Here is a 24,509-nt window from a genome sequence, read left to right on the forward strand (position 1 = left end):
TGACTATGATATATTATTATATACTATTAACATGCACAATCAATATCCTTTGTTAATTCCCTAGAAACGTGAATAAAAAGTATGACATCCATCCCAGTGATCTCAATTTTAAAAAGAGTGTTTGAAACAAGGAGGTGGGTCCAACCCTTCCAAGACTAATGGAGCTTAACTTACGGATGTGGTTTCATTTCTATGTAGTTCTTGGGAATGAAGCCGTCTTTTCCATTAAGCTCTGCCTTGTACCAGTTCTGATCACATTCTTCGTTCAAAACCTGAAAAGAAATAAGACAACAAAAAAACCCAATCATTTCCTTTTCCCTTTAAAAAGATAGTTACAAGACAATTATGCTATCTTTTAGGTCTGTGAACGGTTTCACTCGAAGTATTATCAGTTATACGGATATAAGACTCCTTTTAACTTCAAACAACCAGCATTATGTTAAACTCTGTTAAAATGAAACAGAAATTATCTCTGAAAATGAAAATTCAGGCTCCCAAACATCTGGAATGAAACCCTCAGTAAGGAAGGAGAAAGAAGAATGGCAAGTATTAGTTGTTTTTTTTTTTTAAGACGGAGTCTTGCTCTGTCGCCCAGGCTGAAGTGCAGTGGCGCGATCTTGGCTCACTGCAACCTCCACCTCCTGGGTTCAGGCGATTCTCCTGCCACAGCCTCCCGAGTAGCTGGGATTACAGGCGCATGCCACGTTGCCCAGCTAATTTTTGTATTTTTAGTAGAGATGGGGTTTCACCATGTTGGCCAGGCTGGTCTTGAACTCCTGGCCTCAGGTGATCTGCCCACCTTGGCCTCTCAAATTGCTGGGATTATAGGTGTGAGCCACTGTGCCCGGCCAGTTTTTTTGTTTGGTTTGGTTTTTCTAAGAGAGAAACCTGGAGAAGAGGTTCTGGAAAATGGCAAACACATAGGAGAATAAGGGAGCCTGACGAAGACAAAGTCTACTTTCTGGGAGAGAGAGGTGTCACAGCAGAACTAAGCAGCAACAGAACCTTTTATTAGACTCCTCTAGAGATCTTCCAACCGACCTCCAGAATCTACAGTGATACAGTCCTGGATCCCCTCATGGCTTCTCTGGGTTACCGCAAGTACGGGTCACCCACCAAACAGCTCCAGAACACTGCTGCTTGTGAGGACAACCATATGCCCTCGTATGGGAAAACTATTTTCAGGAAAAAGCATGGCAAATCCTACTCAGTTCAATAACCCAAATGCCACATTGTATTAAAGTTAGATAGTGCTGAAAGCATATCAACCAGCAGAATTCAGGCAGATGCCTTGGAAATCCTGGAACTGAACCACTGCATTCTACAGATGTAAAAAAACAAGATCAATGGTCAACCCAGGTTACGAGGTAGTGACCCCACAGAGCTAACATCATGCCCAGACTTTCATATTTCCAATGACCGTTCTCTCCAATGCTGCCTCTTGAATTGCATGTACCAGGCCATGCATAGGCTAGGCCATGACGCTGTAATGTGTAGAGTAATACAGTAGTCCTCCTTATCATGATGGATACGTTTCAAGACCTCCAGTGGGTGCCTGAAACCGTGGATAGTACAGGACTCTAGATATGCTATGCTTTTTCCTACACTATACACATACCTATACGTTTTATTTTTTTTTAGATTTATTTATTTATTTTTTTTTGAGACAGAGTCTCGCTCTGTCGCCCAGGCTGGAGTGCAGTGGCGCGATCTCGGCTCACTGCAAGCTCTGCCTCCCGGGTTCACGCCATTCTCTTGCCTCAGCCTCCCGAGTGGCTGGGACTACAGGCGCCTGCCACCACGCCCGGCTAATTTTTTGTATTTTTTAGTAGAGACGGGGTTTCACCATGTTAGCCAGGATGGTCTCGATCTCCTGACCTTGTGATCCACCCGACTCGGCCTCCCAAAGTGCTGGGATTACAGGCACGAGCCACCGTGCCCAGCCGATTTATTTATTTTGCCCAGGCTAGTCTTGAACTCCTGGACTCAAGGGATTCTCCTGCCTCAGCCTCCCAAAGTGCTGAGATTACAGGTGTGAGCCACCATGCCAGTCCTACCTATAAGTTTAATTTGTAAATTAGGCACAGTAAGAGATTAATGATGACTAGTAGTAAAATAGAAAAGTTTTAACAGGCCAGGTGTGCTGGCTCAAACCTGTAATCCTGGCAGTTTGGAAGGCTAAGGTGGGAAGACTGCTTTAGCCCAGGAGTTTAGGACCAGCCTGGGCAACATAGTGAGACCCTGTCTTTATATTTAAAAAGTGTAAAAGAAAAGTTATAACAATATACTGTAATAAAAATTTATGTGAATGTGTTATCTCTCAAAATATCTTTTTTTTTTTTTTTTGAGTCAGGGTCTTGCTCTGCTGCCCAGTCTGGAGTACAGTGACACCATCACGGCTCATGGCATCTCAACTTCCTGGGTTCAAGCTATCCTCCCATTTCAGCCTCCTGAGTACCTGGGACTATAGGCACTTGCCATGTTGCCCAGGCTGGTCTTGAACTCCTGCGCTCAAGTATCCTCCTGCCTCAGCTTACCTAAGTGTTGAGATTACAGGTGTGAGCCACTGCGATTGGCCAAAATATGTTATTTATATGTTGGATTGCAACTGGCCGCAGGTAAGGGGGGACTAGTATATACGGAGCAGAACAGAATCAGGTACAGCGTGAAAGCCACCCTATGAATTCTAGACTTACAACAAAAGGCAAAGGGCAGAAGGCATAAAGTTGGTAAAAGATAAAACAAAAATGTGAATACAACCCCAAAATGGTGGGCCCAGGAAAATGTTGGCTAGTACAGTGGTAATCTACACTGCATAACAAAGTTCTGAGAGGAAACTGGTAACATTCTTTACAAAATGATTTATTCAAGATGTTGAACAATGCTGTACTCGTAGCCAATCAGAAGCTGGATTGCTCTAAAGTGAGTGCTGTCTGTGTACTGCCATTCAAAGTGAGATGCAATAGAAAGGGTAGATAAGAATGACAGATGATCGACAACTAGCCAGGCTGCATTAATGACTACGCTTTCTTAACAGAGGGTATGCCCTGCAGAGCTTTGCAATGCTGGTGCTTATCTGCTATGCTTACCACACTCTGACTGCAGGTGCCAGACACTGGGTTTCAATGCTTAGGATAAGGTGATAAATCCTGAAAGAGCTAATAAATATGTGTAGCAAACTCTCAAAAAAAATTAGCTAGTGGTAAATCCCAGTGTATTCAAAGTTTCCAAGAGTCACATAAATATTGATAGAGTATTGATGAAAACTTTCTTCTAGTCATCATTTTGTTTCTCGTAAAAAAATCACATCAAAGACTGGAATGAGATAAAACAATATATGCAAGGTACACTCATAATTTTTAAGTCTTCATTTTAAAAACACTGCATTGTGCTGCAGCCAGCAATGGTGCTGTATTGATAGACAATTATAAAGCACACACCAAGGACAAGTTTGAGGAGGGAAAGTGCGCTTGAACCCTGCCGGGCCACCACCACCTGCCCCTGTACTGGCAGCACAGAAAACTCTGAATAGCCTTTGAGAAAAGGAGCTACTTTAAAAGTTATTTAAGGCCAGGATTCTGTTATCTACCAAAAATAAGGTCTAGAAGGAAAATGTGGTCTAATAATGACCTTATAAAGCATCATCCTATAGTAATAATAAAAACCCCACAGGCTTATAAACAATATTTATTATTTTATTTCAGAGACAGAGTCTACGTTGCTCAGGCTGGAGTAGCTGGGACTACAGGTGCGTGCACCCATACCAGCTATGAAGAGTTTTTGAAAATGTCTTAACTCCTGAAATGGTGAGGTGTGTCTACTTTTACTGTATACACTTGTTCTTGGAAGACAGAGAGTCAGACTGACAAAGAGCTGCTTGTAACCTATTTGTGCATCAAAACAGAACAAAGTAATCATTAGAAAGGGACACTTTTGATTTGTGACCAATAACTTTGCAGAAAAAGATAACTCTATTTACCTGCCAGGAGTTCATAGAGCTACACTCTCTTCTTGTCACCTTTACCAAGACAGAGGCAAATCCCTCTAAAAAGTGTCCCCTCCCCCAACAAACACAACTCCAGGGCAACTCCTAGATTTGACATCAACTTAGAACTATGGCTGTCTACAGAACAAAAATTATTACTTGGTGTTTAGTATGTTTTTCTCCCCCAGAAAGAAGGAAAATATGGAATTAATGCTTTTAAAAATGTAATTTTTTTTTTTGAGAGAGTCTTGCTCTGTTGCTCTGTCACCCAGGCTGCAGTGGAGTGGCATGATCTCGGCTCACTGCAACCTCCACTTCCCGGGTTCAAGTGATTCAAGTGCCTCGGCCTCCCAAGTAGCTGGGATTACAGGCATGCGCCACTATACCCAGCTGATTTTTGTACTTTTAGCAGACACGGGATTTCACCATGTTGGCTAGGCTGGTCTCATATTCCTGGCCTCAAGCAATCCACCTACCTTGGCCTCTCAAAGTGCTGGGATTATAGGCGTGAGCCATCATGCTGGCCAAAAATGTAACATTTGAGTACATGAATGGTTACGATTTTGGTTATCTGGAAAATTCTAGTATCCAGAATATCACGTTATCAGATAGCCCAGGTATTGCTGCACATACCTCTAAACCTCTTCACTCTAGAATTTCAGAAAAAGCTTGGTTCTGCCGGAGGCAAAACACAGGATGAACAATGCAGCTGCAACCCTGAGCCAGAGACCAGGCCTTTCAACCCAACTGCTCCACCTGCACTGGGAGCTTGCACACACAAGCCCTGAAACTGGAGTGATGTAATTAGATGCTTAAAAATTAAGTTTTATTCAAATGTTTAAGTATACAAAACAGCTACTGAAGTGTCGGGTTAAAAAAAAAAAAGAAAGAAAAAGAAAACAAAACAGCAAAGAACACAAATGAATGTTGAAGAGCTCGAGGTGGCAGAGACCAGAAGCATCTGAGGATGAGGCTGCACCTACAAAGATTGTTTCATTTGCTGTGGCTTTAGGTGAAAGCTCACATCCTTCACAAATAATTTTTATTTTATTACTGTTACTATTTTTTTTTTTTTTTTGAGATGGAGTCTCGCTCTGTCGCCCAGGCTGGAGTGCAGTGGCACAATCTCGGCTCACTGCAAGGTCCGCCTCCTAGGTTCAGGCCATTCTCCTGCCTCAGCCTCCCGAGTAGCTGGGACTACAGGCGTCTGCAACCACGCCCAGCTAATTTTTTATATTTTTAGTAGAGACGGGTTTCACTGTGTTAGCCAGGACGGTCTTGATCTGACCTCGTGATCCGCCTGCCTCGGCCTCCAAAAGTGCTGGGATTATAGGCGTGAGCCACTGCGCCCGGCCTACTATTACTACTACTACTACTACTACTACTACTACTATTATTATTATTATTATTATTATTATTATTATTATTATTATTTATTGAGACAGAGTCTCACTCTGTTGCCCAGGCTGGAGTGCAGTGGCACAATCTCGGCTCACTGCAACCTCCGCCTCCCAGGTTCAAGTGATTCTCTGCCTCAGCCTCTCGAGTAGCTGGGATTACAGGCACCCGCCACCACGCCTGGCTAATTTTTGTATTTTTAGCAGAGATGGGGTTTCACCATATTGGTCAGGCTGGTCTTGAACCTCTGACCTCAGGTGATTTGCCTGCCTTGGCCTCCTGAGTAGCTAGGATTACAGGCGCCTGTCACCATGCTCAGCTAATTTTTGTATTTTTCATAGAGACGGGGTTTCACCATGTTGGCCAGGCTGGTCTCGAACTCCTGGCCTCAGGTGATCTGCCCACCTTGGCCTCCCAAAGTGCTGGGATTACAGGCATGAGCCACCGTGCCCGGCCACAAATAATTTTTAAAGGCCTAGTCAGACTCCTGAGCATGAGCAAGCTGCTCCCATCACTGTGTCTTCACTTGCTTATTCACTCCCTCTGCACAAATCCACGGGTGAGCTCACAAAAAGTTTCCTTCAGCTTTAAAATCTCCAAGGAATGTTTTTAGCTATTACCCCACAGCTGCATTTTCTATTCCAACCCCCATATTCCCTCGAGTTATGACTTTGTAGCCACACGACACTTTGGTTTAACGGAAGCAGATTGATCAAGAGATGAGATTATAAGAGGAGGAAGAGACAAGTTTCAGTGAAGACAGTTCTTTTTGTTTTTTGGTTTTTTTTTGCAAAGAGACTGAAAATAATGTTAAGAGCCCAAATCAGGAAGAAATTTAAGAGATGAGGAATGAGGTGAGCTTTACACAGAAGAATTAAAAATATACAAGTCCTTTCTGTGCTGATAGCACTCACGCAAATGGTCAACTTTCCTAAAATTCACTGGACTTTCTCTAAGAAGTGTGGCAAGCATCAACCCCACAAAGTGACACAGTACAAGAAGGGAAAGGATTCTCTGTATGCCCAGGGAAAGCGGCGTTATGACAGGAAGCAGAGTGGCTATGGTGGGCAGACTAAGTCGATTTTCCGGAAAAAGGCTGAAACCACAAAGAAGACTGTGCTAAGGCTTGAGTGCGTTGAGCCCAACTGCAGATCTAAGAGAATGCTGGCTATTAAAAGATGCAAGCATTTTGAACTGGGAGGAGATAAGAAGAGAAAGGGCCAAGTGATCCAGTTCTAAGTGTCATCTTTTGTTTTATTATGAAGACAATAAAATCCTGAGTTTATGTTTTTTTTTTTTTTTTGAGACAGAGTCTTGCTCTGTTGCCCAGGCTGGAGTGCAGTGGCACGATCTCGGCTCACTGCAAGCTCCGCCTCCTGGGTTCACGCCATTCTCCTGCCTCAGCCTCCTGAGTAGCTGGGACTACAGGCGCCCGCCACCACGCCCGGCTATTTTTTTGTATTTTTAGTAGAGAGGGGGTTTCACTATGTTGGCCAGGATGGTCTCGATCACTTGACCCCCTGATCCACCCACCTCGGCCTCCCAAGAGTTTATGTTTACTTCAAAATATATATATATATGTACAAGTCAATGGAAGGGGACATGAAGGAACTCTAGAGGTGCTGTTTATCTCACATTTCCTGACCTGGGTGTGTTCTGTTTGTGAAAGTTCACTGACCTATAATGATATATACATTTTCCTTTTTCTTTCTTTCTTTTTTTTTTTTTTTGAGACAGCTTCAGTTTTCACTCTTGTTACCCAGGCTGGAGTGCAATGGCGCCATCTCAGCTCACTGCCACCTCTGCCTCCTGGGTTCAAGTGATTCTCATGCCTCAGCCTCCCAAGTAGCTGGGATTACAGGCGTCTGCCACCACACCTGGCTAATTGTTTTGTATTTTTAGTAGAGATGGAGTTTCGCCATGTTGGCCAGGGTGGTCTTGAACTACTGACCTCAGGCGATCCACCCGCCTTGGCCTCCCAAAGTGCTGGGATTACAGGCGTTAGCCACGGCACCTGGCCCTTGCACTTAATTTTCTATACAAATTATAGAAAAAGGTGTCATTTAGAAAAATGGCAAGTATTTTGTTTATAGATTGCTGCATTTTGAAATAAGGGGATATTTTCTGGCCTGAACATATTCAGTCATCTGTAAATGAATAAAAAATAGAAATCATAATTTTTTTTAAAAGAAATAGGCTGTACAGTTATGGTCCCATCAAGCCTTTCAACACGCGCTCCAATTCCAACAGCTTGCAGAAAAGTTCAACATTTCTTCAGGGAAAAATTATTCAAAGTTTTATCAATCTGTGAAGCAATTTGTGTGAGAACATTTGTGCATGAATGATAGGAAGAATTACATTTTAAAGCTCTTAACACGTAAAAAACCAAAAACACCATTTATAGTTGGTCCCTGCAGTGCAGAAATTCAACATAAGCCAGTGAGGTGTCCCCAGTTCTTCAAAGAACCCAGATAAAACTAGTCTAACTCTTGAGTATCACTCAGGCAATCCCAAAGGAGCGATACTGAAATACTGCCATGACTTGAAGACAAATTTCAAGAATTCTAGTGACATCTACTACATAATTTCAAGTTCCTAGAAAAGAGAAAACACACATGCATGCATGCTTTTAAAAGACTTTAGCCCCTAAGAATAAATTCTAAGGGCCCTGGCTAGGGTAACAGTAATGGGAGAGCCACTCAAAGTCAGTTCTCTTCAGGTGCCTGATTACGTATTTTATTAGAAGCTATTAGAATGTTCTTCAACTTCCCTTAGTATGGATAACTGACTCAGTTTCAAGCTATAGTGATTCATTACTAACACTTTAAATAAGTGCTTCACAATCACCACCTCCATCTGTTACAGTTTTTCTGCAACATGAAAAACATCTTGGCAATGCTGCCTGCTATGCTGTGTGCCAAATCATGAAAAACACCCACAGTGTAGATAAACGATTAACAATTTTAGTGATGAGATAACCAGCAAAGGTAGTTCAATAATTAAGGTTTCTGGTCCCACAGAAAGCTTGAATTGCTCACCCAGGAACACAGAGAGAACAGTTCTCACATATGCCGAGCAGATCAGTCTCCATTTGGAATGACCGCAACTACAGCAAGGCCACGGCTCAATAAAAATCTGAAAAGCATCTTCGCCAACCAGGCCAGGTGATACGTACTTGGCTTTTAACAACCAGAAAGTTGAGAAGAAATGAAATGCATTTATGAAGTTTTAAAACTCTCCTGGCTGGGCGCAGTGCCTCACGCCTGTAATCCCAGCACTTTGGCATGCTGAGGTGAGTGGATCACCTGAGGTCAGGAGTTCGAGACCAGCCTGGTCAACATGGTGAAACCCTGTCTCTACTAAAAATATAAAAAATTAGCTGGGCTTGGTGGTGCGTGCCTGTAATCCCAGCTACTCAGGAGGCTGAGGCAGGAGAATCGCTTGGAGGCAGGAGAATCGCTTGAAACCAGGAGGCAGAGGTTGCAGTGAGCCGAGATCACGCCATTGCACTCTAGCCTGGGTGACAGAGTGACTCCATTAAAAAAAAAAAAAAAAAAAAAACACAAAAGAAAAACAAAGGGTATTTGTTAGTCAGGTATACCTCCTGACCCCTGGTGATGGAATGGTGAGAGGTTCTGACTTAGCACCTTTTAAACATTTTTAAAGGAAAAGAAGAAAAAAAAGGGAAGGAGGAAGGAAAGACAGGGAGGAGGACAAAGTCCCCAAACTCCAACTTTCCACGGTAAAAATCATTCATTACTTTATACTTCCCTCTGCCTATGAAGGAAGGAGTTGTGCCCCATGAATACTGCTTTCTTTCCAACTGCAACCTTTCTGAAAAGTAGCTGCTCAAAGTGGGGATCAGTGTGACAGGGAAACATTGGTGAGTCAGGAGATGGGGACCCACCAAATGTCCAGGCAACAACGCTTAAGTGCTCCAAAGTTAACCACCATAATTTTTCTGTTAAAAAGCCGTAAGTATCCTTCTACAAGTGCAAATATAGTCTGGCATTCCAGTTTTCATAATTTGGCCATCATCGACTCTCTGCTCTGATCTCCCATTGCTTCTCCAAATGAGCCCTGCCGTGCAGTCAGCTAGTCAACTCACCGACCTCTAAACACACTGTACTCCTCCCCACCGCTTGTCTGTACTTTTCCTTGTCTACTGAAATCTTTCAAAATTCAGTTCAGAGCTTACAACCACCCTGGTCACCTTTCCCTCTGCTTCAATCTTATAGTATTTAATGGAGGATTACTGTCAATAATATAATCCCTTATGGTATCTGGTCTATCACTACTTGGACCATGTGCTGCTATGTCTTGGCCCCCTCCCAAACTAACCCGCAAGCAATGAAGCTGGCTCCATACCCAGTTCTCATTTGTCTTCCTCACAGCTCTTAGTATGGTATCTAGCATATTTTGGGGAACTGACTTATATGTGGGGGCTTTGTTCTAAGTGTTCTAAGTAATACATTTAGTGCCCTAGAGCAAGCTGGGTCTACAACAATTTATACATTCTCTCTCTTCTTTTTTAATAAAAAATTGAGACGAGGGTCTTCATATGATGCCCCGGCTGTTCTCCAATTCCTAGGCTCAAGCGATCCTCCCACCTCAGCCTCCCAAAGTGCTGGGAATACAGGCATGAGCCACCGCACCGTCAATTTATACATTCTTGGTGATAAACAAGAACCTCTTAAATAGATCCTAGAAAGACTGCCATGAGTTTGTTGATCCAAGCAAGGAGAGGTAAAGGAGGTAAGAGAATTAAACAATCAGTCTTCCTGTAACGTAAGCACCCTGCCTAAAGGCCATGTGGAGTACCTTTCCACAAGGCCACCTACTTCTTTGTCTAAGTAGGCTGGGTGCAGTGGCTCACGCCTGTAAAATTTCAGCACTCCAGGAAGCCAAGGCGGGAGGATGCCTTGAGCCTTGGAGTTTGAGTCCAGCCTAGAGGGTACAGGGAGACCCTGTCTCTACAAAATATTCAACAATTAGCCTGGCATGGTGGTGTGCACATACAGTCCCAACTACTCAGGAGGCTGAGGTGGGAGGATTGCTTGAGCCTGGGAGGTCGAGGCCTGCAGTGACCTGTGATTGCACCATTGCACTCCGGCCTGGGTGACAGAGAGAAACCTTGTCTCAAAAAAAAAAAAAAGGTATAAGATTGGGAAGGAGTGGGGGTGGGTGGGTAGAGCAGGGAACTTTCAGTATGACAGGGATAAAGGGGGCTGGACCAGGGAGAGAGGAGGTGTAAGTCTGTTTCTACACATGTCCTATTAATCCCTCTCAGGATGGAGCGCTTCCTGGCAATGTGATGTCTAATTCTGATTCGGTCTGCCTGTCTGACTTGTGACAGACTTTTGCAGGGTGCTAATTTTAATAGCTACAACTCTGCCAGCAAAATTTTTATGGAACAGTCTGCAAGACCTTGGATTTTTTGATTCACCCACTGACCAGCAACTAGGCTGATGGAGAAAAATGATCACATTAAGAGACCAGGACTATTCATGTATTAAAAAAGTTTCTTTATAATGTTCATACATGTTAGAAGATGAACAATTAAGACGACTAACCAAATTACAGGATATTTCTTTCTCTGAGAAATATTTTAGTTCAAAAGATAACTAGGATATGCTCATCAACCTCTTCAGTTGACCTCTTATCATCAAGAGAAATTGCTCTTGATATTTTTAACAAAACAGGAAGGTAGTTCACACTTATGTGATATTACTCCACCCAGATAAATCTGGAGGCAGTGAAACCTAAATGCATAGACAAACCCCAAAATAAACTTCTACCAAAGGGGTACAAAAAGTTTCCATTCAAAATAACTGTCTTGCGTTTTGTGACATGTGGAAGTCCTATTTGGTGGAGCTGAAATGCTCTTGGAATGTCAGAATTTCAACTGCACGAGCAGGGAGAAGAAAGGAGAGGAAGGGAGGGGGCAGGAAGAGACCAACACAGAGATCAAGAGGTTTCAAGAAAAATCTGTGTATTTGAAAAATTCAACAATCATATGATGACCTGTACTAGACAAACACCAAGCCCTGGGCTAGGTGAACTGAGGATAAAATGGATACCCTTCCCAAGGAGCTTAGGGGACTAGAAAGCTGCCAGGTGCATCACAGTGTGACGAATGTCAGGAGTGGGGAGTTATGGGTACTATGTAGGCATCAATTCAATAGAAAACATCTGACTTCCAAACACCAAAGACGATGACTTAACTCCAGGTTAGGGGGTATCAGGAAAACATCCTAGATGAAGTGTGAACTTGGTTATTCCCTGTCTGCATCTTTAGCTCTGCTTAGTCTGTGTGGACTGTGAGTAGAAGGAACATGGCAGACTCTGCAAGTAGACAGATTGTTGTTTGGCTGCTATTAACTAAAACACTGGTTAAGCTTCTTTTAGCTTAAAGGTAAAATATTTATTAATGGTATCAGAACTTCTAACTGGAAATAACCTAAATAACCTCAACTGTAGCTAATTTTTTTTTTTTTTTTTCAGACAGAGTCTTGCTTTTGTTGCCCAGGCTGGAGTGCAATGGCGTGATCTCAGCTCACTGCAACCTCCACCTCCCGGGTTCAAGCGATTCTCCTGCCTCAACCTCCTGAGTAGCTGGGATTACAGGTGCCTGCCACCAAGCTGGCTAATTTCTATATTTTCAGTACAGACAGGGTTTCATCAAGTTGGCCAGGCTGGTGTTGAACTCCTGAGTTCAAGTGATCTGCCCGCCTCGGCCTCCCAAAGTGCCAGGATTTACAGGTGTTGAGCCACCGCGCTCGGCCTCAACTGTAGCTAATTCTTTACTTTAATGACACATATTTAGCAACTGTCCTTTTCATCCTTTCACTAACAGAAGGAGGCTTTTAATCTTACATGAAATCCTACACTCCTCTCTTCAAAAAATAAAACACAAAGCCTCCCCAACCCCCCACACCCCCTCCCAACCCCCCCGCCTGGGGGAGCAGCTGTTACTCATGTTTTGTGATGCTAACAGGCAAACCCGCTCCTGTGTGTCAGTTCCACCCTCTAAGGTCTCCACTCACTTCCCACTGCCTCAGCATAAAGCAGAAAACAGGAGCTCAAACCTCTACCCTGAAAATTAATGACAACAGAGGTTTTTTTTTAAATTTTATTTATTATTATTATTTTTGAGATGGAGTCTTGCTCTGTCCCCCAGGCTGGAGTGCAGTGGCGCAATCTCGGCTCACTGCAACCTCCGCTCCTGGGTTCATCCCATTCTCCTGCCTCAGCCTCCTGAGTAGCTGGGACTACAGGCGCCCGCCACCACGCCTGGCTAATTTTTTTTGTATTTTTAGTAGAGACGGGGTTTCACCGTGTTAGCCAGGATGGTCTCGATCTCCTGACCTCGTGATCCGCCAACCTCAGCCTCCCAAAGTTGTGGGATTACAGGCGTGAACCACCGCACCCCGCCCGACAACAGAGTTTATTTAATTCCACGTAAGACTATGATTCAAGGGGTCAATGAAAGGACTGATCGATTTTCAGTCGTTCTGTGACCCAAGAGCCACCTCAGAGGATGTTATTGAAAGAAGAAAAAGCAATGTTGGTCACAGAACTATTCACCAACGTGTGCATAAGGATACAGGACTGAAAAACTCAAGGCTGGGGTCCTCCCACCAGGACACCGTTAATTTCCAACTCAAAAAGCTAGTTCCAAATGCATTTTCTACTTCTGAAGCAGTTAATCTAGTTCCAAATCGGGAAAGGCTTGTTATAATCACATGACAGAGGAAGAGGAACTGGGGTAGAGTGGCAAGTCCCTACCCCCACCCCCACCCCCACCCCCAGGGTGGAGGCGAATGCAGAGAGTTCAACAGGTAATGACAATACAAACTGCAAATGTGGATTCAAGCTAGTGGACAGGGTCAGGGAGCAGAAAACACAGGGACCTAAACTAGTCTCGGGGTGGGGGCTGCCTGAGAAAGCCTCCCCAAGCCAGTGACATTTGAAGGGAGATCAAAGGCTCTCCTGTGGGTGGTCTGGCAGAAGACCACAGTATGCAAATTAAGAAGCTCAAGCTTATATGTTACAATCATCAGAAGTCGCTGAGAGTGACATTCAGGTTTGCATTTTTCAAAAGCTCCTCTGGCTGACTGTGAGATGAACTGCAAGGAGGTGCAGGTGGGTGGGGCAGTGCGGTAGAGAGGAGAGAGTCGAGGTATTTCTGGAGGTAGAATCAAAAGGACTTGGTGATGAGATGCTGCTCAGTGGTCTTCCTCTCGGCCACTGATTTTTTTTTTTTTTTTTTCTGAAAACTGCTTTAGAAAAACTGCTATATTGGCTGGGCACAGTGGCTGATGCCTGTAATCCCAGCACTTTGGGATGCCAAGGCAGGCGGATCACTTGAGGTCAGGAGTTCAAGACCCGCCTGGCCAACATGGTAAAACCCTGTCTCTACTACAAAATACAAAAAATTATCTGGGCACGGTGGCGGGCGCCTGTAGTCCCAGCTACTCGGGGGGCTGAGGCAGGAGAATCGCTTGAACCTGGGAGGCAGAAGTTGCAGGGAGCCGAGACTGCGCCACTGCATTCCAGCCTGGGCAATAGAGTGAGACTCCGTCTCCAAAAAACAAAGACAGGTATCAATCTTATGCTGGTATCCTCCATCTGTCTCTCCAGATCCAGTTACACCTTGCTTTTCTTGCCTTTTTTTTTTTTTTTTTTTTTTTGAGACAGAGTCACACTCTTTGCACAGGCAGGAGTGCAGTGGTGCAATCCTGGCTCACTGCAACCTCCACCGCCCGGGTTCAAATGATTCCCCTGCCTCAGCCTCCCAAGCAGCTGGGATTACCACACCTGGCTAATTTTTGTATTTTTTAGTAGAGACGGGGTTTCATCATGTTGGCCAGGCTAGTCTCAAACTCCTAACCTCAAGTCACCTTGGCCTCTCAAAGTGCTGGGATTACAGGCATGAGCCACTGTGCCCAGCCTGCTCTGACTTTTTGGCTCTGTAAGAACCACATCAACAGGCTCCCTCACTCTCTGGCTCCCAGTGCTATTAATCAATGGGGAGGCCTGCAGAAGGTCAGACGAAGGGAGGGTCAGGTCAGGGCATTCATTCTCCCAGCTCCCACCCTGAGAGTGTCTGTGGACAGTCTTGGACTCTCAATTGAAAGTAAGTCCTTTCCTTCTCCAGGTTTGGGCAACTCCTCCCCCTTCCTTCTCCCTGTCGTAGGCCTCATGGTGGTAACCTGATTACCAGCTGTGGACACTGCATTATCCCTGTGGTTTCTAGAGAAACTTCGCCCACACTGATAGCGGCAGGAGGCAGACAAATGCCTCACAGGGGCGGGTCTCCAGTGAAACCCCACCTCTAAGCCAAAGACAACTGAAAGCCTGAAAGCCACACTACAGGTCAAATCCATGGACCGGACTGAGAACCCATCTTCCCATTTGGTAGGCTTTCCTCTGATTGATCCCCACTCTTCACCTATTTTACATCTACCTACCCTTTCCGAATTGATTTTCTACACTGCCATGCCCATCTTTGAGTGGTGCCTTTGCTTTAGCCTTTCTTTGCATGCCCACAAACCATTCAGCATGCATGCCCCTGTTCTGAGCCCATAAAAGCCCCCACCCAGCCACACTGGGAGAGAAACCACCAGACTTCAGGGGTGGGGAACCACTACCTCCTCCGCTCCTGAAAGCTGTTCACCGCTCAATAAAATTCTTCTCCACCCTCCTCACCCTTAAATTGCCAGTGTAACCTCATTCTTCTCAGACACAGGACAAGACCTTGGGAACTGCTGAACCTGGGAACAAGCCATAACACAGGTGAGCTGGGGCATACCCAGCCCAGCCATGAGCTGAGCTGGTGCGCAACCAAGACTTAGCCTGAGTGGGCTGAGTGTGGAGGTCCCCAGCTGGAGTCAACACCTTGCAAATAGTCTCATTATTAAAATCCTCTCAATTTAAGTGTGTCAGGTGTTCTCTACCAGGACTCAGACTGAAATTAGCCTAAAATCAGTTGTATATGTCTTTTGGAATGCATTAAGGACATGCTCCTTTATATAAAGTGACATTTGTTATGGGGCAGAAAGTATCCAAATTCTACCAACTACTTGGAAGAAGAAAACTATAAAAGAGCCAAACAATTCTGTTCTGTTAACCGCTTTTTCAAAATTTGAGACAGGGGTCTTGCTCTGTGGCCCAGGCTGGAGTGCAGAGGCACAATCACAGCTCAATGCAGCCTCAGCCTCCCGGGCTCAAGTGATCCTCCCGTCTCAGATCTTCCCACAAATAGCTCGGACTACAGATGCCAGCCACTACAGCTGGCTACTTTTAAAATTTTTTTGTGGAGGCAGGGTCTCACCATGTTGCCAAGGCTGGTCTGGAACTCCTGGTCTCAAGGTATCCTCCCATCTCAGCCTCCCAAAGTGCTGGGCTATAGGCATGAGCCATAATGCCCAGCCCTATTCTGTTTACTATTAAAAGTTGAGAAAGGGGGTGAAGGTATAAAAACCTCAGATTTGTAATCTGACCATTACTAGACTGGCATAATGACTTGCAGTAGCTGCCCCTTTGAATTGCACTTTAGATATTGTTCAAGTGTCTACTACACTGAAAGCATTGTGTTAGGAAGCTGAAAAGGGAATAAGAATAAAAGGCATGGTCCCTGCCCTCAGAAGTGTTTATGAGCTAAGGGAGCTATGTGTGTAAATAAAGAGGAAATAAGTAAAAAAGTGAGATAAGGGAAATTGCTGATTTTGAGCTGGACACAGAATTCACCGCTACATGTTTCTATTTACTTTTCAGTTTTAGAGACAGGGTCTTACTCTGTTACCCAGGCTAGACAATGCAGTGGCACAATCTCTGCTCACTGCAGCCTCTGCCTCCTAGGCCAAGTGAACTTCCCACCTCAGTCTCCTGAGTAGCTGGGACTACAGGTGCACGCCGCCACGCCTGGATAATTTTTGTATTTTTTGTAGAGATGCGGTTTTCCCATGTTGTCCAGGCTGGTTTCGAACTCCTGAGTTCAAGCAATCCGCCCACCTCAGCCTCCCAAAATGCTGGGATTTCAGGCATGAGCCACTGCGCCCAACCCAGCAACATGTTTCTAAATTAGCTGCATGGCTGACATGGAAAATTCAACTCATGTGTGGACGTTCTAGAAAAAAGGACAACTTCAAATAGTCTAGGAATAGGGCAAGAACCTAAAGGTAGAACAGCTTATAACAGGTGAGAGGGTATAGTAAGCAAAGTAATTTTCCCTCTTGTATTTTCATTGAGTTTAAATAAAAGAAGCCATTCTTGTTTAATCCTACTGTCCTCTGCCAGACTACACATTGCTCTCTTTTGATGGAGCTGTCATATGTTTCAATGATAAATGGTAATTACATACATTTGGACAGCTGGATGTGGCTCAATCAAGCAGGGTCCTCTCTTACAGGTAACCATGCTGGCCATGTTACTAAAACTACTGCCTAACAGATAAGACAAGCTGTCCTCCCTGTTGCCTTTAGCCTGCTAAGGCTGTAAAACCTGAGAGCCCAGAAACCTTCGAGGACACATGTAGGCTTGCCCAGAATAACTAGATCAAGGGGCTGGTTCGAGCCTTCTGTTTTCATAACTCAGACTTTTTTTTTTTTTTTTTTTTGAGACAGAGTCTTACTCTGTTGCCCAGGCTGGACTGCAGTGATGCGATCTTGGCCCACTGCAACCCCCGCACCCTCTGCCTCCTGGGTTCAAGTGATTCTCCTGCATCAGCCTCCCAAGTAGCTAGGATTGCAGGCGCCCACCACCACGCCTGGCTAATTTTTGTATTTTAAGTTGAGACGAGGTTTGACCATTTTGGCCAAGCTGGTCTTGAACTCCTGACCTCAGGTGATCCACCCGCCTCAGCCTCCCAAAATTTGTAATCCTGGGATTACAGGCGTGAGCCACCACACCCTGCTGACTCAGACATCTGATGGCCACCCACTGCCTCACTTTGGATGATCATATTGGCAAAGATGAAAATAAGTTAATACTTAGTGATAGGGATAGTATCGGTGGGAATATAAAAAGGTATATGGCTTTATGAAAAGTAATTCGACTGTATGTATTAAAGATCTAATGTTCATACCTATTAACCCAGTAATGCCATTCTTAGGACTCTATCCTAATAAAACAACCAAAAAAAAAAAAATACATAGTCAAGACTAAGGGAGCAGCTGGGCACAGTGGCATATGCCTGCAGTCCCAGCTACCTGGGAAAGATCCCTTAAGCCCAGCAGTTTAAGGCTATAGTGTGCTATGATTGCACCTGTGAATAGCCACTGCACTCTGGCCCAGGCAATATAGCAAGATCTCATCTCTGAGGGGAAAAAAAAAAAAAAAAAGACTGAGTAAACAAGTATGAGTGAGTGCCTATTTTGAGTTAGGAGCTATGCTAGGTCCTGGGGATACAATTTTAAAAATGAGCCTTACTTTCAAAGAGCTGACAGCAGGGGAAGCCAAGTTCACTACAACTTCAGGTGTAAGTTCTATGAGTCCAGAGTGCTCTGTATGAAAGCACATCTTGGGGAGACCGAATCTAATCAATGCAAGGAAAGCTCACTTGGGCGGTAACATTTATTTATTTATTTTTATTTTTTTTGAGACGGAGTCTCGCTCTGTTGCACAGGCTGGAGTGCAGTGGCGCGATCTCGGCTCACTGCAAGCTCCGCCTCCTGGGTTCACACCATTCTCCTGCCTCAACCTCCCAAATAGCTGGAACTACAGGCACCCGTCACCACGCGCAGCTAATTTTTTTGTATTTTCAGTAGAGACAGGGTTTCACCGTGTTAGCCAGGATGGTCTCGATCTCCTGACCTCGTGATCCGCCCACCTTGGCCTCCCAAAGTGCTGGGATTACAGGCGTGAAGCACCGTGCCTGGCCACTTGGGTGGTAATATTTGAATGGAAACCCTCAGTGTAAGTAGGCTGTAGTGAGGCTTGGGGACGGGCATTGAGGACACAAATGAGAGCAAGAAACATTCCAGGCAGAGGAATGCGCAGGTGCAAAAGTTCTCAGGCAGGAAGGGATGTGGCATAGTCTAGGGGAGACCAGGGACAGAGAACTGAGCCCGACTGTGCAGGGCAGAATAAGGACTTGGGGAATTTGCTCATTAGGATGATGGTTCTGGCTTGTGTGTGGCACACGGCTCTGAGGGGACAAAGAGCAGCAGCAGGAAGATCAGGTGGAGAAGGGGTTACTGCAGGGAGCCAGGAGGGAGCAGACAGGAATTGAGATTAGGGTAGGGGGCTTCTGACTGTTTTGAAGAGAATCTAAAATGAACACTGAAAAACCCACATGCATTATTTTTAAGAATCTAAGTTTATCCCTCCCTCTCAAAAGATTCCCTCTGTACTTCTGTAGGAACAGGGTGCACAGGACCACACAGGATGAGACATCAAATTCCATGTCATATCATAGGCTTCTCAAAGTGAAAAAATTAAAAATTAGAGGAAGACGGCCAAGTGCTGGTGGCTGACACCTGTAATCTAGCACTTTGAGAGGCTGAGGCGGAAGAATCACTTGAACCCAGGAGATCAAGACTAGGCTGAGGGATATAGCCAAGACCTGTCTCTACAAAAAATAGAACAAAAAAGTTAGCTGGGTATAGTGGTGTGCGGCTGTAGTCCCAGCTACTCTGAGACTACAGTGGGAGGATCAGTTGAGCCTGGAAGGCTGAGGCTGCAGTAAGTTATGATCATGCCACTGCACCCCAATCTGGGTGACAGAGCAAGACCTACCTCCAAAAAAAAAAAAGTTTAATTATTCTCCACCATAAACAAAGACAAAGAGAAAGAAAATATATTAAAGGGATAATCCCTCACCTAGAAGGAATGATCCCATTCTTCGAGAATATAGGTGATATCTTAATTGTTGTACAATTAAAAACAGCTACACCAAACTGCTCATAACCAATTACCAATTCAAATAAATATATAGAAAATCTTTACAATCTATGAAAATTCTAAGTAGTACACTCTGACACATTTTATTCACTTATCACGTATAGTTACTTCACTTCAAAGAGTGACATTAGGGGGCTTACAAGACCCCAAGTACAGGCCTTTGCATTAAGAAAATGGACATCAGGGTTCAGGATATAAAAACCTTTTCCTAAGCATCTCTAATGGAATCGGAGACAAATATAACTATTGTTAACAGGCAGGCTAAATTAACTACCTCCTTTTGCTGCTAGACCAGAGGCTTCTCTAGTAATTAATTACCCAGGTCCTGGCCTCCTTCAGGCAGCTACACAGCTCAGGAGGAGCAGGTTCAGGTTCACTGGGAGGGCTGGGGGGCAGGGCAGCCGCAGCACAGCCCCTGCTCTTGGCAGGCACCATCATGAAGAGACAAGCTCAGCCTTGCTCCGCCTCTAGTTCTTTCTCTAAGCACCTACACGCTGCTCCATGTGAAAAATCAGCACTTTTGTCCCACAGAACTGTCACAACCTGCAGAGAAGAGAGGGACTAAGACGGCTAAATGATAGGATGTATTAACGCAAACAACAGGCTTGTCAGACCCGCAACTCCAAGTTACAAGAACAACTTCCTGATTTCATGTTGTGCTTAAAGGAGAAATGTGTGTACAATCCCATGATTCTGGGTCAGGCCCCAGTACCAACAGAACATCCACGCTCCCTGGAAATGGAAGGGTGACCAGGCATAAACGGTTCATTCTCCTGCTCACAATGACAAGTAGTTTCCCAAAGGAGAAAAGCGATCAGACATATTATGTGACAACTAAGATATCCCTACTGTTTGCAGCTACAGCCTGGTATCACTCAGCCTTTATGATCCCCTCTATGCAGTAAAAGTGTTTTAATGTCACGGATGTCTATGTATAATAAATCAATAATGATTAAGGCTATCAACTCTGAACTGACTAGCACCAAAATTTCCAGTTTTCTCTAGTTGAATTTTCATCATCAAGCTCACAAGACCGTTCTCTGGGAGAAAAAGTTAACTTGTTTTTTTTTTTTTTTTAAAAGACATAGTTGGCCAGGCACAGTGGCTCACGCCTGTAATCCCAGCACTTTGGGAGGCCGAGGTGGGTGGATCAGAAGGTCAGGAGATCGAGACCATCCTGGCTAACATAGTGAAACCCTGTCTCTACTAAAAATACAAAAAATTAGCTGGGCGTGCTGGCGGGCACCTGTAGTCCCAGCTACTCGGGAGGCTGAGGCAGGAGAATGGCGTGAACCCGGGAGGCGGAGCTTGCAGTGAGCCGAGATCGCGCCACTGCACTTCAGCCTGGGCGACAGAGCAAGACTCCGTCTCAAAAAAAAAAAAAAAAGACACAGTTGTACCTTGTATTCATGGGGGACTGGTTCCAGGACCCCTGCATATACCCAAATCTGTGCATACTCAAGTCCCACAGTTGGCCCTCTGCGTAAGTGGGCTGTGCATCCTGTGAATACTGTCTTTTTGACACACATGTAGACTGAAAAAAATCCGTGTATAAGCGGAACCATGCAGCTCAAACCTCTGTTGCTCAAGGGTCAACTGTACTTCCTTTACTGGTTGGGCTTCTGTATTTCCTCGAGTTTCTATGCCCTTAAAAAAAAAACCATTTTTACCGGGCGCGGTGGCTCACACCTGTAATTCCAGCACTTTGGGAGGCCAAGGCAGGCAGATCATGAGGTCAGGGGTTCAAGACCAGCCTGACAACACGGTGAAACCCCGCCTCTACTAAAAACACAAAAATTCGCCAGGTGTGGTGGCACATGCCTGTAATCCCAGCTACTCAGGAGGCTGAGGCAGGAGAATCGCTTGAACCTGGGAGGCAGAGGTTGCAGTGAGCCGAGACTGCGCCACTGCACTCCAGCCTGGGCAACAACAAAAAAAATTCTGGCCAGGTACAGTGGCTCATGCCTGTAATCCCAGCACTTTGGGAGGCCGAGGCAGGCGGATCATCTGAGGTCAGGAGTTCAAGACCAGCCTGGCCAACATGGAGAAACTCCGTCTCTACTAAAAATACAAAAAATTAGCCAAGCATGGTGGTGCATGCCTGTAATCCCAGCTACTTGGGAGGCTGAGGCAGGAGAATTGCTTGGACCCGGGAGGCGGAGGTTGCAGTGAGCCGAGATCACACCACTGTACTCCAGCCTGGGTGACAGAGCGAGACTCTGTCTCAAAAAAAAAACAAAAACGAAAGGGTGCGTGAGGGGCAAATGTTTTGAGTCCTTGCATGTCTGGAAATGTCTTGATTCTATGTTTATACTTGAAGGCTATTTCGGCTGGGTATAGATTTCAACAGAATCCTGGGCTGAACAGCATTTTCCCTCAGAACTTGGAAGAGACATTGTTTTCTGGTATTCAGAGTTGTACAAGCAAAGTTTATTCATGGTCTTTTTTTTTGGGGGGGGGGGGGAGATGGAGTTTCACTCTTGTCTCCCAGGCTGCAGTGCAATGGTGCGATCTCTGCTCACTGCAACAACCTCCACTTCCCATGTTCAAGCGATTCTCCTGCCTCAGCCTCCTGAGTAGCTGGGATTACAGGTGCCTGCCACCACAACCGGCTAATTTTTCTATTTTTAGTAGAGATGGGGTTTCACCACATTGCCAGTGCTTCTCGTAGGAACACAAACCCTACTGTAAACTGCTCACGCGAGGGATCTAGGTTGCCCGCTCCTTGTAAGAATCTAATGCCTGATGATCTGAGGTTGAACAGTCATCCTGAACCATCTCGACCCCCCACTTCCATGGAAAAATTGTCTTCCATGAAACCAGTCCCTGGTAGCAAAAAGGTTGGGGACTGCTGGATTCAAGAATTGCTGGAAGAGCCCACTGCAGTCTTCCAAAAGATGTGACAGCTATTATTCAAACTTCCAGAAAGAGAACAGTGAAAATAGAAGAAAAGACACTACGAAATGTTTTTTAAAAAGGAAAAACTTAACTTCTCATAGCTGATGAATATGAATTTTCAGATAGGAAGGGCGCACTGAGAACCCAGCCATAGTGAATAAAAACAGATCTATGGCCGGGCACAGTTCATGCTTGTAATCTCAGCACTTCGGGAGTCTCCCAAGTAGTTGGGATTACAGGCACATGCCAACATGCCTGGCTAATTTTTGTATTTTTAGTAGAGACGGGGTTTCACCATGTAGGCCAGGTTGGTCTCGAACTCCTGACCTCAGGTGATCCACCTGCCTTGGCCTCCCAAAGTGCTGGGATTACAGGCGTGAGCCACCGCGCCTGGCCAGGACCTGTACTCGTACTTTTGTCCCTGTTCCTAGCAAAACAAAATTCTACGAAGGTGCTGAATCCCATCTCTTCTTGCCTGCTCAAGGACATTAACTCAGTTATTTTCCTTTCTTCTGCATCATCAATTTTAATTAAAATCTCTACTGGATTTTTCTAATCAACAAATAAAAATGCTGTCATTTCTCTCATCTCTGGGAGTGGGGTGAAAGCAGACTTCTTTTGACTCTACTGCCTCATCTCTCTGTTCCCCTTTAAATCAAAACTTTCTGGAACAGTTGTCTATACTCTCTGTCCCAGTTCTCTCCTCCTCCCCAAACATCTTGTTATAAAAGCTTTCAAGCATAAAGCAAAGTGAAAAGAATTTTACAGTGAATACATTTATCCATCACATAAATCGGGGATGTCCAATCTTTTGGCTTCCCTGGGCCATACTGGAAAAAAAAAAAGGTCTTAAGCCACACATAAAATACACTAACACTAATGATAGCTGATGAGCTTAAAAAAAAAAAAAAAAGCAAAAAAATCTCATAATGTTTTAAGAAAGCACAAATTTGTGTTGGGCCGCCTTCAAAGCCATCCTGGGCCACATGTGGCCTGCGGGCTGTGGGGCTGGACAAGTTTGACCTAAGTTATTTGCTCTGTCACATATCTATCCATCTATATACATCCCTCTCTCCTATTGATGTATCTTAATTTTCCTTTCTTCTTTTTTTTTTTTTTTTTTTTTTAAAGAGACAGAGTCTTGCTCTGTCGCCTAGGTTGGAGTGTGGAGTACAGTGGCGTGATCTCGGCTTACTGCAACCTTCGCCTCCCGAGTTCAAGCAATTCTCCTGTCTCAGCCTCTCGAGTAGCTGGGACTACAGACGCACGCTGCCATGCCCGGCTAATTTTTTTTTGTACTTTAGTAGAATCAGGGTGTCACCATGTTGCCCAGGCTGGTGTCGAACTCCTGAGCTCAGGTAATCCACCCGCCTTGGCCTCCCAAAGTGCTAAGATTACAGGCATGAGCCACCGCACCTGGCCCTATCTATCTTAATTTTTAATGCATTTCAAAGTTACAGATATGAGTACATTTCCCCCTAAATACTTCAATATACATATTATTACCTATATTTAAATATTTGGGCCAGGTACAGTGGTTCATGCCTGTAATTCCAACACTTTGGGAAGCTGAGGCAAGAGGTTCGCTGGAGCCCAGGAGCCAAGACCAGCCTAGGCAACATGTTGTGAAACCCTGTTCTCTAAAAATTAGTTAGGTGTGGTGGTGTGTACCTGTGGTCCCAGCTACTTGGGAGGCTGAGGCAGGAGGATCGCTTGAGCCCAGGAGGTCGAGGCTGCAATGAGCCATGATCACACCACTGTACCGCAGCCTAAGTGACAGGGCAAGACCCTATCATTCGTTCTTTCATAAATATTAGTTTGCATGTATAATTTACATATCTGCTACCTTTGAGATAAAGAACACATCTATCACCACAGCAAGTTTCCTTGTGCAGCTTTCCCTGTGCATACCCATCCTCTCTGAACCAGCTTCCAAGCACGATTCCGCTCGTACCACTCTACTGAAACTACTCAAGGTCACCAATCAGCTCCTGTTGCTGAATCCAAAGGTCAATTCCCTGCCCTCATCTGACTTGGCCTATAAGCAGGGCAAAACAGAAGTGATCATTTCCTTCACCTTGAAGCACTTTCTTGGCTTCCAAGACACATCATTTCCCAGCTTTTCTTCCTACGTAACTGGCCACTTCCTGTTGGGTCTCCTTTGCTAGTTTCTTATCTCACTAACTTTTAAACATTCAGGTGCCCCAAGGGCTCCATCCCTGGAACTCTTTTCTTCTCCATCTACACTCATTCCTTTAGTTTCCCCATCCAGGCTAATGGCTTTTATAACATCCCCAAATGGAACACTTTTCACTTTTACCAC

The 24,509-nt window shown here is 44.9% G+C and overlaps 1 protein-coding gene and 1 pseudogene across 2 annotated transcripts in view, besides 13 other annotated features; one reads left to right on the forward strand and one right to left on the reverse strand.

Moving 5' to 3' along the window:
- The window catches only part of GRB2 (growth factor receptor bound protein 2), an 87,603-nt gene that overhangs the window by 14,450 nt on the left and 48,644 nt on the right, over positions 1-24,509 (reverse strand). For both annotated transcript variants that reach the window (NM_203506.3, NM_002086.5), the window contains exon 3: positions 175-272. In NM_203506.3, coding sequence (NP_987102.1) covers positions 175-272 — 98 coding nt within the window. The remainder of the gene's footprint in view (positions 1-174; positions 273-24,509) is intronic.
- Positions 4,838-4,947: an enhancer, noted in NCBI's record as "active region_12756". NCBI's record gives its function as "activates an Ori minimal core promoter by ATAC-STARR-seq in GM12878 lymphoblastoid cells {active_cell/tissue: GM12878}" and the evidence as "EXISTENCE:reporter gene assay evidence [ECO:0000049][PMID:35858748]".
- Positions 6,275-6,687, forward strand: RPL36AP7 (ribosomal protein L36a pseudogene 7; annotated as a pseudogene).
- Positions 6,405-6,574: an enhancer, noted in NCBI's record as "active region_12757". NCBI's record gives its function as "activates an Ori minimal core promoter by ATAC-STARR-seq in GM12878 lymphoblastoid cells {active_cell/tissue: GM12878}" and the evidence as "EXISTENCE:reporter gene assay evidence [ECO:0000049][PMID:35858748]".
- Positions 12,521-13,512: an enhancer, noted in NCBI's record as "NANOG-H3K27ac-H3K4me1 hESC enhancer chr17:73341127-73342118 (GRCh37/hg19 assembly coordinates)". NCBI's record gives its function as "activates a minimal SCP1, AML or CMV promoter by ChIP-STARR-seq in primed H9 embryonic stem cells {active_cell/tissue: H9 hESC(primed)}" and the evidence as "EXISTENCE:reporter gene assay evidence [ECO:0000049][PMID:30033119]".
- Positions 12,887-13,166: an enhancer, noted in NCBI's record as "active region_12758". NCBI's record gives its function as "activates an Ori minimal core promoter by ATAC-STARR-seq in GM12878 lymphoblastoid cells {active_cell/tissue: GM12878}" and the evidence as "EXISTENCE:reporter gene assay evidence [ECO:0000049][PMID:35858748]".
- Positions 14,497-14,665: a silencer, noted in NCBI's record as "fragment chr17:73343103-73343271 (GRCh37/hg19 assembly coordinates)". NCBI's record gives its function as "represses an EF-1alpha promoter that drives an FKBP-Casp9 reporter gene in an ReSE screen in phorbol 12-myristate 13-acetate-treated (for megakaryocytic differentiation) K562 erythroleukemia cells {active_cell/tissue: K562(+PMA)}" and the evidence as "EXISTENCE:reporter gene assay evidence [ECO:0000049][PMID:32094911]".
- Positions 14,577-14,636: a silencer, noted in NCBI's record as "silent region_8964". NCBI's record gives its function as "represses an Ori minimal core promoter by ATAC-STARR-seq in GM12878 lymphoblastoid cells {active_cell/tissue: GM12878}" and the evidence as "EXISTENCE:reporter gene assay evidence [ECO:0000049][PMID:35858748]".
- Positions 14,777-14,836: an enhancer, noted in NCBI's record as "active region_12759". NCBI's record gives its function as "activates an Ori minimal core promoter by ATAC-STARR-seq in GM12878 lymphoblastoid cells {active_cell/tissue: GM12878}" and the evidence as "EXISTENCE:reporter gene assay evidence [ECO:0000049][PMID:35858748]".
- Positions 14,847-14,926: an enhancer, noted in NCBI's record as "active region_12760". NCBI's record gives its function as "activates an Ori minimal core promoter by ATAC-STARR-seq in GM12878 lymphoblastoid cells {active_cell/tissue: GM12878}" and the evidence as "EXISTENCE:reporter gene assay evidence [ECO:0000049][PMID:35858748]".
- Positions 17,717-18,256: an enhancer, noted in NCBI's record as "H3K27ac-H3K4me1 hESC enhancer chr17:73346323-73346862 (GRCh37/hg19 assembly coordinates)". NCBI's record gives its function as "activates a minimal SCP1, AML or CMV promoter by ChIP-STARR-seq in primed H9 embryonic stem cells {active_cell/tissue: H9 hESC(primed)}" and the evidence as "EXISTENCE:reporter gene assay evidence [ECO:0000049][PMID:30033119]".
- Positions 18,257-18,794: an enhancer, noted in NCBI's record as "H3K27ac-H3K4me1 hESC enhancer chr17:73346863-73347400 (GRCh37/hg19 assembly coordinates)". NCBI's record gives its function as "activates a minimal SCP1, AML or CMV promoter by ChIP-STARR-seq in primed H9 embryonic stem cells {active_cell/tissue: H9 hESC(primed)}" and the evidence as "EXISTENCE:reporter gene assay evidence [ECO:0000049][PMID:30033119]".
- Positions 19,563-19,891: a silencer, noted in NCBI's record as "fragment chr17:73348169-73348497 (GRCh37/hg19 assembly coordinates)". NCBI's record gives its function as "represses an EF-1alpha promoter that drives an FKBP-Casp9 reporter gene in an ReSE screen in HepG2 liver carcinoma cells {active_cell/tissue: HepG2}" and the evidence as "EXISTENCE:reporter gene assay evidence [ECO:0000049][PMID:32094911]".
- Positions 19,563-19,909: a biological region, named in NCBI's record as "ReSE screen-validated silencer GRCh37_chr17:73348169-73348497".
- Positions 19,750-19,909: an enhancer, noted in NCBI's record as "active region_12761". NCBI's record gives its function as "activates an Ori minimal core promoter by ATAC-STARR-seq in GM12878 lymphoblastoid cells {active_cell/tissue: GM12878}" and the evidence as "EXISTENCE:reporter gene assay evidence [ECO:0000049][PMID:35858748]".

The sequence above is a fragment of the Homo sapiens genome, chromosome 17, assembly GCF_000001405.40.
Source record: "Homo sapiens chromosome 17, GRCh38.p14 Primary Assembly".
NCBI classification, from domain to species: Eukaryota; Metazoa; Chordata; class Mammalia; order Primates; family Hominidae; genus Homo; species Homo sapiens.